Genomic DNA, 15380 nt, shown 5'->3' on the forward strand with positions numbered 1-15380 from the left:
ATCACCTGAGGTCGGGAGTTCGAGACCAACCTGACCAACACAGAGAAACCCCGTCTCTACTAAAAATACAAAATTAGCCAGGCGTGGTGGTGCATGCCTGTAATCCCAGCTACCCGGGAGGCTGAGGCAGGAGAATTGCTTGAACCTGGGAGGCAGAGGTTGCAGTGAGCCAAGATCTCGGTGAGCTAAGATTGCACCATTGCACTCCAGCCTGGGCAACAAGAGGGAGACTCTGTCTCAAAAGAAAAAGTGAATTCCAGCTAAATTCTGAAACTCCTTGTTCTCTGAACTCATATTATTAGTTGAAGATTCTAAGCCCCACTAATAACTGTAATGCAATTTGAGCAAATCCCTTTTAGGGAGAAAGTGACAGCTATATGAAACTACATAGTGTGGGCGTATGATAATAACAGGTAACTCTTCTCAGCACTTACTGTGGTGTCAAGCACCGTGCTAAGTTAAGGACTTTCCCCTTGTAAGAACTGTAAGGTAGGTTTTTTTTATTGTTCAGTTTTACAAGCGAGCAAACTGAAGCTCAGGAGGAATTAAGCAACTTGTCAAACAGTACATGAGAGATTCGTTTTATGTATTATGTATAAACATATACAGATTGATTTTTTCAAAAGATTTTTATTGCGATATAGTTCACTTATATAATCTACATTTAAAGGTTATTCAATGGTTTTTAGTATATCTGCTGAGTTATGCAACTATCACTACTGTCAAATTTCAGAAATTTTTTTCTTTTTCTTTCTTTTTTGTTTTTTTGTTGTTTTTGAGACAGGGTCTCACTCTCTTGCCTAGGCTGGCACCATCACAGCTCACTGCACCCTTGACCTTCTCGGCTTAAGCAATCCTCCCACCTCAGCCTCCCAAATAGCTAGGACTGCAAGCAAGCACTACCACGCTTGGCTAATTTTTAAAGATTTTTTTGTAGAGAAAATGTGTCCCTATGTTGCCCAGACTGGGCTCAAGCAGTCCTCCTGCCTTGGCCTGCCAAAGTGCTAAGATTACAGGTGTTAGCCACTGCACCCACCCTGTAATATTTTCCTCACCCGAAAAAGAAACCCCATACCTGTAGTAGTCACTCCTCATTTCTCCCCAACCCCTCCAGCCCAGGCAACCTGCTAACCTACTTCCTGTCTCTAGATTTGCCTATTCTGGACATTTCATATAAATAGAATCATATGTGGCCTTTTGTTTCTTCTTTTACTTAGCATAATGTTTTGGAGGTTCATCTACGTTGTGGCATGTTTCAGGTGCTTAATTCCTTTTTATCACTGAATATATTCCATTGCATGGATGTACTATGTTTTGTTTGTTAGACGAAAATGTTTCTCCGTTTGTCAGTTGATGGACATTTGGGTTGTCGCCACTTTTTGGCTATTATGAGTAACGCTGCTGTGTGTATTTGTGTATATGTTTTTGTGGGTTTCCTTTTTTTTGAGACAGCTTGCTTTGTTGCCCAGGCTGGAGTGCAGTGGCATGATCTCAGCTCTCTGCAACCTCTGCCTCCTGGGTTTAAGCGATTCTCCTGTCTCAGCCTCCCTAGTAGCTGGGATTACAGGTGTGCACCACCACGCCTGGCTAATTTTTGTATTTTTAGTAGAGATGGGGTTTCACCATGTTGGCCAGGCTGGTCTTGAACTCCTGACCTCAAGTGATCAGCCCACCTTGGCCTCCCAAAGTTCTGGGATTACAGGCATGAGCCACTGCACCCAGCCCCATGTATAAGTTTTTGTATGGGTATATGTTTTCATTTATCTTGGGTATATACCTTGGAGAGGAATTGCTGGGTCATGTAGTTACTCTATGTTTTAACTTTTTGCGGAACTGCCAGCAATTTTTCGAAGTGGCTGCACTATTTTACATTTCCACCAGCAGTGTATGAGATTCCAGTTTCTTCACATCCTTGTCAACACTTGGTATTATCTGTTGTTTTGTTTGTACGCATCCTAGTGGGTGTGAAGTGGCATCTCATTGTGGTTTTGATTCGCATTTCTCTTATGATTAATGATGTTGAGCATCTTTTCATGTGCTTATTGGCAATTTGTGTATCTTCCTTGGAGAAATGTCATCTCAAATCCTTTGCCCATTTAAAAATTGAGTTATTTGACTTGTTGAGTTGTAAAGGTTCTTTGCATATTCTGGATAGTAGGCCCTTATCAGTATGTGATTTGCAAATATTTTCTCCCATTCCATGGGTTGTCTTTTTTTTTTTGAGATGGAGTTTCGCTCTTGTTGCCTAGGCTGGAGTGCAATGGTGTGATCTCGGCTTACCACAACCTCCGCCTCCCAGGTTCAAGCAATTTTCCTGCCTCAGCCTCCCGAGTAGCTGGGATTACAGGCATGCGCCACCATGCCTGGCTAATTTTGTATTTTTAGTAGAGATGGAGTTTCTCCATGTTGATCAGGCTGATCTCGAACTCCCTACCTCAGGTGATCCTCCCGCCTTGGCCTCCCAAAGTGCTGGGATTATAGGGATGAGCCAATGAGCTCAGCCAAAATTTTGTTCTTTTGCATGTAGATATGCAGTTGTTCAAGCGGCACTTGTTGAAAGGACAGTTCTTTCCCAATGAATTATTTTGGCACCCTTGTTGAAAATCAATTGACCATAAATGTGTGGGTTTATTTCTGGACTCTAAATTGTATTCCATTGACCTGTATGTCTGTCCTTATGCCAGTACCACGTTGTCTTGATTGCTGTAGCTTTGTGTAGTACGTTTTAAAATTGGCAAGCGTGAAATGTGAGTCCTCAGACCTCTCTCTTCAAGGTGGCTATTCTAGGTTTCTTGCATTTCCACATGAATTCTAAGATCAGCTTGTCAATGTCAGCAAAAAGCCAGCTGAGATTTTGATAGGAGTTGAATTGAATCTATACCTCAGTTTGGAGAGTTTTGTCATTTTAACAATATTGTCTTTTAAACCATGAGCATAAGGATGTTTTTCAATTTATTTAGGTCTTCTTTAATTTTTTGAGGTTTTTTTTGTTTGTTTGTTTTTTGAGATGGAGTTTTTACTATTGTTGCCCAGGCTGGAGTTCAATGGCACAATCTTGGCTCACTGCAACCTCCGTCTCCCAGGTTCAAGCGATTCTCCTGCCTCAGCCTCCCAAGTAGCTGGGATTACAGACATGTGCCACCACGCCCGGCTAATTTTGTATTTTTAGTAGAGGTGGGGTTTCTCCATGTTGGTCAGGCTGGTCTCGAACTCCCGACCTCAGGTGATCCGCCCACCTCAGCCTCCCCAAGTGCTGGGATTACAGGTGTGAGCCACCACACCAGGCCAGTTCTTCTTTAATTTTTTTTAAACAATGTTTTATGGTTTAAGAGTATGTAAGTTTTATATTTATTGTGTCATATTTATTCCTAAATGTTTTATTTTTTGATGCTATTATAGATGGAATTGTTGTCTTAATTTCATTTTTGAGTTGCTCATTACAAGTATGTAGAAATATAATTGATTAGTTATTGATCTTGTGTCCTGAAACCTTGCTGAACTCATTTAATAGTTCTAATAGTTTTTTGGTGGATTCCTTAGGATTTTATACACAAGATCATGTCATCTTCCTTTCCATTCTGGATGCTTTTTATTTATTTTTCTTGCCCAGTTGCCATGACTAGAATCTCTAGTACAATGTTGACTAGATATGGTGAAAGAGGACATCCTCATCTTGTTCCTCATCTTAGAGGGGAAACATCCAGTCTTTCACCATTAACTATGATGTTAGTTGTGGGTTTTTTAGAGATGCTTTTTGAGGAAGTTTCCTTTTATTCCTAGTATGTTGAGAGTTTTGGTTTTTTTCTTTTAATCATGAAGGGATGTTGGAGTTTTGTCAGATGTTTTTGCTGCAGCTGTTGAGATGATCATGTATTTTGTTTTATCCTATGATATGGTGTAATACGTTAATTGACTATCTGAAGTTATACCATTCTTATATTTGTAGGATAAGTCTCAGTTGGTCATAGTGTATAATACCCTTTTTATATGTTGCTGAATTTAGTTTGCCAGTATATCGTGGAGGATTTTTGCATCTATATCATAAGAGATATTAGTGTGTGGTTTTCTTTTCTTGTGACGCATTTGTCATCAGGATAATAGTGGGTTCATAAAATGAATTGGAAAGTTTTCCTTCTTCATCTATTTATTGGAAAAGTTTGTGAAACATTGGTATTAATTCTTTAAATGTTTAATAGCATTCACCAGTGAAGTCCAGGCATGGTGGCTCGTGCCTGTAATCCCAGCACTTTGGGAGGCTGAGGTGGGCAGATCACATGAGGTTAGGAGTTCAAGACCAGCCTGGCCAACATGGCAAAACCCCAATTTTACTAAAAGTACATAAATTAGCCAGGTGTGGTGGTGGGCACCTGTAATCCCAGCTACTCAGGAGGCTGAGGCACAAGAATCACTTGAACCTGGGAGGTGGAGGTTGCAGTGAGCTGAGATTGTGCCACTATACTCCAGCCTGGGCGACAGAGCGAGACTCAGTCTGGAAAAAAAACCCATCTGGGCCTGCATTTTTTTTGGTGGGCAGTTTTAAAATTACTAATTCAATCTCTTGTTATAAACTTATTCAGATTTTTGGTTTCTTTTTGAGTCAGTTTTGCTAGTTTGCATTTCTGTAGGGATTTATCTTGTTCATCTAAGTTGTCTAATTTGTTGGCATACAGTTGTTCATAGTCTTCTTTTATTTTATTTTATTTTTTGAGACGAAGTTTTACTCTTGTTGCCCAGGCTGGAGTGCAATGGCACAATCTCGGCTCACCACAACCTCCGCCTTCCGGGTTCAAGCAATTCTCCTGCCTCAGCCTCCTGAGTAGCTGGGGCTACAGGCATGTGCCACCACGCGCGGCTAATTTTGTATTTTTAGTAGAGACGGGGTTTCTCCATGTTGGTCAGGCTGGTCTCGAACTCCCGACCTCTAGTGATCCACCCGCCTCGGCCTCTCAAAGTGTTGGGATTACAGGCATGAGCCACTGCACCCGGCCCATAGTTTTCTTTTATAATCCTTTTTATTTCTGTAGAGTTGCTAATATTCCATCTTTAATTCCTGATTTTAGTAAGTTAAGTCTTCTCTCTTTTTTCCCTGGTCTATCTAACTAAATGTTCGTCAATGTTGTTGACATTTTCCAAGAACCAACTTTTGGTTTTGTTGATTTTCTCTGTTGTTTTCTCTTCTCTATTTTACTCATTCCCCCTCTACTCTTTATGCACTTATTGTTTTAAAATCACACTGTCATCATAATACAATTACAGCATTTTTTTTCGACTGCCTCTTCAGATGAGAGAGATGCAGGAAGGTCTGAAGAGTTACAATTATCCAAGAAATGTGTGCTGCTCTGTGGCTTATCCATAGGTGCTCCTCTGTGGTCCGAAGTAGAAAAAAAGTTAACATCGTAATGTATTTGGCTTTTATTTTGTACATCATCTCTAACTGTTGCCCAGGAGTTTGAGTGTTTTTTGTTTGTTGTTTTGTTTTGTTTTGTTTTTGAGACGGAGTCTCGCTCTGTCACCCAGGCTGGAATGCAATGGCACAATCTCAGCTCACTGCAACCTCCGCCTCCCAGGTTCAAGCGATTCTCCTGCCTCAGCTTCCCGAGTAGCTGGGACAATATAGGCACTCACCACCTCGCCTGGCTAATTTTTGTATTTTTAGTAGAGATAGGGTTTCACCATTTTGGTCAAGTTGGTCTCGAACTCCTGACCTCAGGTGATCCACCCACCTCGGCCTCCCGAAGTGCTGGGATTACAGGCATGAGCCACCGCGCCTGGCTGAGTTTGAGTGTTAATCCTTACTCTGCGCTTTTAGTTTTGCTCTGGGGTGTGAATTGTAGTAAGTAGTTTCCCCTTTCCCATGATAAACATTTTTACACACCTCCCCTGTGGCAGGTAGTATGCTAAACCTAGCACCTTTCATTTAGATTGAATTTGTTAGGTAAGAAAATACTTAGTTTATGTAATAGACGTGTAGGAAGATAATGAGTTTGCTAATTATTTCTTTCCTGCTAAACTTCAACTGAATTTATAGTTCATAAGTTCATCGTCTTGTTACTTTTAAAAAAATATTTAATGCAAGTTAGAGACTAAGGTAAGAGAATCTAGAAGATATTAATATGACTTGGATCCTACCCTTTGGAATTCTCCATCTCTTTGGTGCGATGGACAAGTCATAACCTTGGGAAGAGTCAGGGAATCATGGGAGGTGTGTGGACTGGGCTCCAGGAGACAGGAAGGTATTTTAGCACCGGGGGAACACTGAGGCCTGGGATTGGTCCAGGAGGACTTATGTTCAGCTAGCAGATGTCTTCAACCACGTCCCTTATTCCTCAATAAGAGTTATCTTCACTGTATAATAGCCATGACATAGTTTTCGCAAAACAGGGAGGTTTGATAGCTATTGGATTGTGGTGGTTTACCCATGCTCCTGCTTCACTTTCCTAAGTGGCACTTTCTGCGTATCTTCAGAGACTGCAGGGGTAGTTAGTACCTGAATAACAGCTAGCATCTTAAATCAAAATAAAGCACATTTTCTAAGATGTATTATGGCATTTAAAAAGTTTTTACAGGCTGGGCATGGTGGCTCATGCCTTTAATCCCAGCTACTAGGGAGGCTGATATGGGAGGATCACTTGAGTCCAAGAGGTCAAGGCTGCAGTAAGCTGTGATCACGCCACTGCATACCAGCCTGGGTGACAGGGTGAGACCTTGTTTAAAAGAAAAAAAAAAAAAAGGTTGTACTTTCCAAAAGTCCATGGCAGTTTGTTGTATTCTTGGAAGAACTTTCAGAGTCACATTTTTTAGGCAGTGCCCAGGCATTGAGACTTAGCTCACACTAGAGAAATTGCTGCGTGGCTCTGGACACGCGGTGCAGGTGCCAAAAGGGGGGCGAGAGTGGCAGAATAGGAACGAAGAGGTAAGAGCCAGGTGTGCATGTCTAGCATGGGGAAGAAAACCCTTGATGGGATGGATGGAAGTGACGCATGTGCACTTGCCTATTTCTTTGTGAGTAGATCCGCATACGTGCCCGGCAGATCATGCTTGCGGTCTGAAGGACCCACAGATGCTGCTGGAGTTTATGTGCTACTTCAAGGCACGTGGAACTCAATACACAATAATGAGAGTGGTGTTTTGGTGGGAATCCAGCTAGAGAATGTAATTTTATTCTGACCCAAATTATCTGTGCTTTCAGTTTTGATTAAGGTCCTATACTTCCTATTCTAGACTTGAATGCTGATATGTGCTTGAGAAATCCCCCATGTTCAGTGTTGTCCGGTGATTGCATTTCATGAAAGCTCCTGGCCTTATTTAGACTTAATTTGAGTGCTGTTGAGAGCTTAAACTTGTGTTGGATGATCTGGAGCCTGTTGCCAACATTTATTTATTAGGCACTTAACTTTATAGAAAAAGGAATTCAGTAACTATCACCTTCATATATAATCCCCAAATTCATATTTTAACTGTGCCCAAATGCAAACATACCTTCTTACATGTGTTGCTCTAATTAATGCATAAATATGTTTTCTATTTTTTGTACTTGAAATATCTGTCAAGCACATTTCCCTATTTTAATGTAATACATCCAATTATGTAAATGCCAGTGTTTCCTTCACAGAATGTGGAGGCTGTGGACCCACGAGGTCGAACATTATTGCATCTTGCTGTTTCCTTGGGACATTTGGAATCTGCTCGAGTCTTACTCCGACATAAAGCAGATGTGACAAAAGAAAATCGCCAGGGATGGACAGGTAAGTATACTTTTACAATAATTTAAAGTCCGTCTGAGCACCATGGTGAAACCCTGTCTCTACAAAAAAATATGAAAATTAGCCAGGTGCGGTGGTGCATGTCTGTAGTACCAGCTACTCAGGAGGCTGAGGGGGTAGGATCACCTGAGCCCGGGGAGGTTGACACTGCAGTGAACTGTGATTGCGTCACTGCACTCCACCCTGGGCAATAGAGCAAGAACTTTTCTCAAAAAAAAGGTCATTCATTTTAGTTTCTGTTTCTGAATAAAGGCCAGTCTCAATCATACTTTTCCTTGGAGTCATCTTTATCTTAAGATTTCTCTCTTGGGACAAGGGATGGGGACAAGGAAATGGGAGCCCAGGATGATGCAGGTTGCGTCCCAGGCCAGAAACCCTCGGTAGAGAATGACTCCTCATCCAGAAACAGCTCTCAGTGCAAACTTCTTCCACCATACACGAATGTGGAGGCCAGTTTTCCCCTGAGGAATATGGTTACCTCCATTGAATCCATCAAAATAGGCAAAAATCAAAAATAAATTGTGGCTAAAAGTAGCCTCTTCCTGGGAAATCCTGTCACTTCACTTGTTTGTAAGCTCTTCTACCATTGGCCAGAGTAATTTTGTGTTGACTGAGCAGGGATACTGTAGGCCAAGCCCTGCCTGCCAGGTCTACATATAACCACAGTTACATGTTGTGTGATCGTATAGTTAAAGCCAACTGTCTAAACACATTATCAGGATTTCGCAACCAGTGGTAAGAATAGGGGTCGGGAGAGGTGGACGGGGTTTGATCAAGGTGCTAAGGGTACTCTATGTTTTTTACTCAGTGAAGAGCTAGCAATCAGAAGTCATGATCATCCTGGTAAGGTTGGACTGCAGCCCTTTTCTTCTGAAGAAAATACTGGTCTTTGATCTAGATACTTTTTCAGCCTGGTTTTGGAATTTGTCAGAAAGTATGAGAATTAAATTTCACCCTTTTGTTTTCTAGTTTTACATGAGGCTGTGAGCACTGGCGATCCTGAGATGGTGTACACAGTTCTCCAACATCGAGACTACCACAACACATCCATGGCCCTTGAGGGAGTTCCTGAGCTGCTCCAAAAAATTCTCGAGGTATCCATGAAAATGTGGCCAGGCCATAATCTGAGCTAAATGCTGATACAATTACTGGAGACACAGTTTGACATCCTTGTGTGCCTTCCTAAAGAGTTTTCTGATTCGTGAATATGAAATACTCAATACCAATCACATTATTCCTTGCCCTTCTAATTTGTGGAAATGTGAGTTCTTTTACAAATTACACTTCTAAGTCACTGGGCTTACCCTTTTAAGTACTATTTAAAAATTATAATTGAGCCAGGTGTAGTGGCTCATGCCTATATTCCCACCACTTTGGGAGGCTGAGGCAGGAGGATTTGCTGAAGCCCAGGAGTTTGAGACCAGCCTGGGCAACAAACAAAGCAAGACTCTGTCTCTAAAAAAAAATTAGCAGGGCATGGTAGTGCATACCTGTAGTCTGAGCTACTTGGGAGGCTGAGGTAGGATGATCGCTTGAACCCAGAAGGTTGAGGCTGCAGTGAGCCACCCCTGAGTGAGGGTGCAGTGATCGCACCCCTGCACTCCAGTCTGGGTGACAGAGCAAGACCTAAAATAATAATAAATATAATAATATAATAATAAATGATAATAAAGTAAAAATTAGAACTTAAGGAAAATGGACATCAAACAGTTAATTTGTTTAGGTGCCTGTTTTCTTGAAAGTAGCCTCCTGAGCATCTGTAATCTTAGGAAAGTTGTGATAGGTATCACTTACTATGCAGGGATTTTCAGATTCTGTTAAGGCTCAGAGGTCTGTGTGTAACTTCTCCTTGCCAGGCTTGTCACTTCAGCTATTAGTATTTCGAGACCTTTAGTCCATTGCCCTGATTCATTTATAGAGAAAAATTAATAGCTCTATCGAGAAAAGGAACAACTTTATTATAAATAAGACAGTCAGCTGGGTGTGGTGGCTCACGCCTATAATGCCAGCACTTTGGGAGGCTGAGGTGGGTGGATCACGAGGTCAGGAGACCGAGACCATCCTGACTAACACGGTGAAACCCCATCTCTACTAAAAATACAAAAAATTAGCCGGGTGTGGTGGCGGGCGCCTGTAGTCCCAGCTACTCAGGAGGCTGAGGCAGGAGAATGCTGTGAACCTGGGAGGCGGAGCTTGCAGTGAGCCGAGATTGCACCACTGCACTCCAGCCTGGGTGACAGAGCGAGACTCCATCTCAAAAAATAAAAAATAAAAATAAAAATTAGTGTCAAGGATTTTAATTTTTTTACTCATATTGGTCCATTGTGATGGACTGCACTGAATTGTATTCTTTGCTTCAAGTTATAGAGAGCCTGTAAATGACCTGCGTACTTAGTGGCTCCAGAAGCTGTCATTGATGTCTTGTCTTTCAACAGTATCTCCTTATAACATACATCAGCCTTTCTTACCACCTGTTTCTTGGAGGTTGTCTTTGCTCATCATTGGAATGCTGGCAGATTTTACTCCAGGGTAGATTCTTGGCCCTCCTGCCCTGTTCTTTGGTAAAAATCATGGCAAAGCCTTGCAAGTGTGTAGGAATAGGAAGAACACCTGGAATTTCTAGCATTTCTCTTCTTTTTTTTTTTTGAGACGGAATCTCGCTCTGTAGCCCAGGCTGGAGTGCAGTGGCGCGATCTTGGTTCACTGCAAGCTCCACCTCCCGGGTTCACGCCATTCTCCTGCCTCAGCCTCCCGAGTAGCTGGGACTACAGGCGCCCACCACCGCGCCCGGCTAATTTTTTTTTTTGTATTTTTAGTAGAGATGGGGTTTCACCATGGTCTCGATCTCCTGACCTCGTGATCCGCCCGCCTCGGCCTCCCAAAGTGCTGGGATTACAGGCGTGAGCCAGTGCGCCCGGCCGCATTTCTCTTCTTGAAGGGTAACTTTTAGATTTCTGAATCTTTAGGAACTTACAGGAATGGTAGGTAAGAAAATAATCCTAAACAGGGCTGCTGTGGTAGTTTAAAACTTCAGAAAGCCAAATTCTACATGTTTCAGAGGAAAGTGGAGAAAAATGTTATGTTAACTGGAGGGAAAATCAACTTCCTGAGGAAGTGGAGTCTAGCAACCTCTTTCGGTTTCACAGAGTAGTTCAATAAATAGGAAGCACTTGCCAGCACACAAACCTTTTACAGTCAAGTTGCTCGTTGAATGGATGGAATTGACATTCCCTGCCCTTTGCCTAGAATAGGTGGTTACCCACATTTGCTTGGCAGTGCTTAAGCCCATCTTCCCAGGTTCATCTTTCTCTTACTGTTAGGAACCTGACTGGAACCCTGAATCAGGTTTGACTTTTATCCCCCTCCAATCCTCTTATTCTCTTGCTTTCTGTTCACTTTCTTTCTTGATTTTTTGAGATGGGGTCTCACTCTGTTGCCCAGGCTGGAATAGTGCTATCTCGGCTCATGGCAACCTCTGCCTCCCAGGTTCAAGCAATTCTTCTGCCTCAGCCTCCCCAGTAGCTAGGATTACAGGCGTGTGCCACCATGCCGAGCTAATTTTTGTATTTATAGTGGAGATGGGGTTTCACCATATTGGCCAGGCTGGTCTCGAACTCCTGACCTTAACTCATCCACCCGCCTCGGCCTCCCAAAATGCTGGGATTACAGGCATGAGTGAGCCACTGTGCCCGGCCATCTGTTCACTTTCTTAATGTCTAGACATATTTTATATCAAGGTAAAATAACACTCTAATATTTAATAAAATAAGTAATGGGCTTACACTTGTTTTTTCTTTCTTTTTTTTTTTTTTTCCATACAGTATCTCGCTCTGTTGCCCAGGCTGGAGTGCAGTGGTGCAATCTTGGCTCTCTGCAGCCTCCACCTCCTGGCCTCAAGCAATCCTCCCACCTCAGCCTCCTGAGTAGCTAGGACTAGAGCGAGCCACCATAGCCAGCTACTTTCTGTATTTTTTGTGGAGACAGGGTTTTGCCATGCTGCCCAGGCTGGTCTCAAACTCCTGAGCGCAAGTGATCACCCGCCTCAGCCTCCCAAAGTGCTGGGATTACTGGCATGAGCCACCTCACCCGGCTAGGGGCTTACATTTTATTTCTTCTTATTTTCTCTTTTTTTTTTTTTTAACCCAGGGTTTTTAAGAACCCTGTTAACCCCTGCTTATGTTGTGTTGATAGTGCCAAGGGTAATCTGTTTTAAACCTTTGTCTGCCCTTCAGGCTCCGGATTTCTATGTGCAGATGAAATGGGAATTCACCAGCTGGGGTGAGTGGCTGTGGGCTCGTTATTTATTTCTCTTTCTAAATTTACTTAGCCCGCATGTAGGTTTATTTTTCCTTTGTAAAAGTTACATGTATTTTTTTTTAGTCAAGGAAATACATAGTGAAGAATAAGGAAAAATAATCACTGATAGTCCCAGTTAAACACAACTGTTAATGCTTTGGGTGTTTTTCATCCGGTCTTCCCCGCCATGCATAGGACTTTTCCTCCCAGGCATTCATGAAGGTAGTATATAGACAATTTCATTTCCTCCTTTTGTCATTTATAGCCGACATCTATATTATTAGTTTTAAAATGTCACTTTATTTTTATTTTTTATTTTATTTTTATTTTTATTTTTTTGAGACAGAGTCTCACTCTGTTGTCCAGGCTGGAGTGCAGTGGCATGACCTTGGCTCACTGTAATCCTCATCTCCCAGATTCAAGCGATTCTCATGCCTCAGCTTCCTGAGTAGCTGGGATTACAGGTGCGCGCCACTGTGCCCAGCTAATCTTTGTATTTTTAGTAGAGAGTGGGGTTTCACCATGTTAGCCAGGCTGGTCTCAAACTCCTGACCTCAGGTGATCCACCCACCCTAGCCCCCCAAAGTGCTGGGATTACAGGCATGAGCTACCATGCCCAGCCTAATTTTTGTATTTTTAGTAGAGATGGGGTTTCATTATGTTGGCCAGGCTGGTCTCGAACTCCTGTCCTCAGCTGATCCAACTGCCCCAGCCCCCCAAATTGCTGGGATTACAGGCATGAGCCACTGCACCCAGCCCAAAATGTCACTTTAAATTGCTAGAATTTTAATAAGTAGATTTACCATAATTTACTAATTTCCTTATGTGGTTTAGCTTGATTCTTTTAAACTTGTTATTCTAAACAAGATGAGGTGAATATTGGAATAGCTTATTTTTTTTTAACAAAATGGATATATTTCTCTAAAGTATTACGTAGGCAGTTGACTGACAGTATATTTCCATAGATGTTCTACTTTCATTTCTTGTAGATAAATTAACGATAACTCCTAACTTACAGGGTTTCAGCTGTTTCCATTTCCAGACTTCCCTTTCAGGCAAGAAGTCATATTTGTATGAAATGTTTAAATGACATAAAAGTACGTAAAAGAATAGAACTTCAGATTGTTTTGAGAAATGAAATTTTTTTCTAATGCACATAGTCACTCTTATTTCAGGTTTTGTTAAAAAGTGGCATACTTAGGCCGGATGCGGTGGCTCATGCCTGTAATCCCAGCACTTTTGGAGGCTGAGGTGGGAAGATCACCTAGGTCAGGAGTTGAAGACCAGCCTGGCCAACATGGTGAAACCCCGTCTCTACAAAAATACAAAAATTAGCCGGGCATGATGGTGGGTGCCTGTAATCCCAGCTACTCGGGAAGCTAAGGCAGGAGAATCGCTTGAACCTGGGAGGCGGAGGTTGCAGTGAGCCAAGATTGCGCCACTGCACTCCAGCCTGGGCGACAGGGTGAGACTCCGTCTCAAAAAAAAAAAAAAGTGGCATACTTTAGACATTTGATACTCTGAATGGTGGATATGACAATATGGTAGGCCACAGCCATATGGCAAGAGTTGCATATGTGAGTGAGGAAGGCCAGATGTACAGACCTTATATAGTGGGGACAGACCCCACTATAAATTGGGGCTCATTTCAGGATCAAGAATACTCTTGGGAAATTTATTTAGACTTTTTTTCTGGTGAATGGAATGGAAGGTTCATTTTTATTTTTCAAGAGTGATTTCCTGTATGGTAAATATGAAAGCCAAGAAGTCCGTTGTTTGATGGTCACCATCTTGCCACTCCCCTCCTTTTATTAAATCAGAATCCTGATTTCCTGGCCTAGGTATTCTTCTTGGCCCTTGAGTTTTTCTCAGTAGTACACTTCTCTCCTCCAGTGCCCTTGGTTTCTAGAATATGCCCAAATGATGTCTGTCGCATCTGGAAAAGTGGTGCCAAACTGCGCGTCGATATCACATTGCTGGGATTTGAAAACATGAGCTGGATAAGAGGGAGGCGTAGTTTTATATTTAAGGGAGAAGGTGAGTGACTTCTCTTGTAGTAATCACTGCTCAAGCAAAATTACAGGGTGATTTTTAACCAAGAAAATGCTTTCACATTCATGTGACTTTTCTGTCTGATCCTTCCTAGGGCATGTTTTTTTGGTTATTCTTATTAATTATTCAGCTCTCCATCCCTGTCTTCGTTCTTGTCTGGCTAGCTCTCCTTCATGTGTCCTTTACCACCCAGCAGTTACCCTTGTGATGTGTCTGCTTCACTTTCCTGAGCCTTTGAGCACAGGCCTTCTGTGTGTATCTCTGTATAACCCTCCATAATCAGGCATGAGAAATGGCATTGCTCACCCAATGTTGTGCATACATAATTTCTGTGAATTCTGTAATAATATATTTTATAAAGGACATTGATGGAATATATTGCTAATAAGAATGCAGATTATTAAGAAAAATTCCGCACCTTTGGGGAAGATGGCTCAGAGCTTCCTATGTGTTGTGGAAAGCTGGTCAGATAATCCCTGTGCAAATAGGTAGTCGATAATCAGTACACTGTAGGTTTTACCAGATAGCACCTGGGAGGACACACATGAAAGATGATACATTTTAACATACGAAGCTTCCTTGTTTTTGCATCTTCCCTACTTTGCACTTAGTTATGCCTTTGTTTCCATTAATAGACAACTGGGCGGAGTTAATGGAAGTCAACCATGATGACAAAGTGGTCACCACCGAACGCTTCGACCTTTCCCAAGAAATGGAGCGCCTCACTCTGGACTTGATGAAGCCAAAAAGCAGGGAAGTTGAGCGGCGGCTCACAAGCCCTGTCATTAACACCAGCCTCGATACTAAAAATATTGCTTTTGAAAGGTACAAATTTAGACTCTAAATTTTAATGTCTAATCCCCATGCTGCCATCTTGAGTGACATGTATGTATTAATTGTAAATTATGGATGGATTGGGCTTTTTCTAATATGACATAATAAACACTAGTGGGTTTTAAGATTGATCTCTAACCAGTAGAAATTGTAGCTGACACTCGACACCATCCATCATTTTTACAGTTAAGTCTTAGAAGACTTAACCAACATGAAGAGTATGAAGAAATGTCTTCCTTTTCTTTTATGTCTTTTATGTGCCCTTTCTAGTGGATTTTACTTGAATCCTATTTTTGTCTTAGTGTTTATGGATCCACAATACTCAGTCCCAGACCACAGAGCGTGGAGTTTCTGGAGGTTAGAATTGACCCAGTACTGAGTTCAGTTGTACTGATATTGGTCAGTCAGATTCACACTTACTATATAGTTAAATGT

At 42.0% G+C, this 15380-nt stretch overlaps 1 protein-coding gene across 12 annotated transcripts in view, besides 3 other annotated features; it reads left to right on the plus strand.

Annotated features, from left to right (window-relative positions):
- Positions 1–15380, plus strand: part of ANKRD13A (ankyrin repeat domain 13A) — a 40551-nt gene that overhangs the window by 5180 nt on the left and 19991 nt on the right. For 9 of the 12 annotated variants that reach the window (XR_944812.4, XR_007063142.1, XR_007063141.1 and 6 more), the window contains exons 2-6: positions 7613–7745; positions 8733–8857; positions 11996–12041; positions 13953–14096; positions 14747–14936. Coding sequence is in view for 9 of the 12 variants with exons in the window: in XM_005253980.4 (XP_005254037.1) it covers positions 7613–7745; positions 8733–8857; positions 11996–12041; positions 13953–14096; positions 14747–14936 (638 nt within the window). In the remaining 3 variants the exon portion in view is untranslated. Of the gene's footprint in view, positions 1–7612; positions 7746–8732; positions 8858–11995; positions 12042–13952; positions 14097–14746; positions 14937–15380 lie in introns of those variants that run through there. The other 3 variants (XM_011538937.2, XM_047429810.1, XM_047429811.1) reach the window with 2 other exon arrangements.
- Positions 1118–1257: an enhancer, noted in NCBI's record as "active region_6990". NCBI's record gives its function as "activates an Ori minimal core promoter by ATAC-STARR-seq in GM12878 lymphoblastoid cells {active_cell/tissue: GM12878}" and the evidence as "EXISTENCE:reporter gene assay evidence [ECO:0000049][PMID:35858748]".
- Positions 6552–6846: an enhancer, noted in NCBI's record as "tiled region #2512; HepG2 Activating DNase matched - State 5:Enh". NCBI's record gives its function as "activates a minimal TATA promoter and a strong SV40 promoter by Sharpr-MPRA in HepG2 cells {active_cell/tissue: HepG2}" and the evidence as "EXISTENCE:reporter gene assay evidence [ECO:0000049][PMID:27701403]".
- Positions 6923–7112: an enhancer, noted in NCBI's record as "active region_6991". NCBI's record gives its function as "activates an Ori minimal core promoter by ATAC-STARR-seq in GM12878 lymphoblastoid cells {active_cell/tissue: GM12878}" and the evidence as "EXISTENCE:reporter gene assay evidence [ECO:0000049][PMID:35858748]".

The sequence above is a fragment of the Homo sapiens genome, chromosome 12, assembly GCF_000001405.40.
Source record: "Homo sapiens chromosome 12, GRCh38.p14 Primary Assembly".
NCBI lineage: Eukaryota > Metazoa > Chordata > Mammalia > Primates > Hominidae > Homo > Homo sapiens.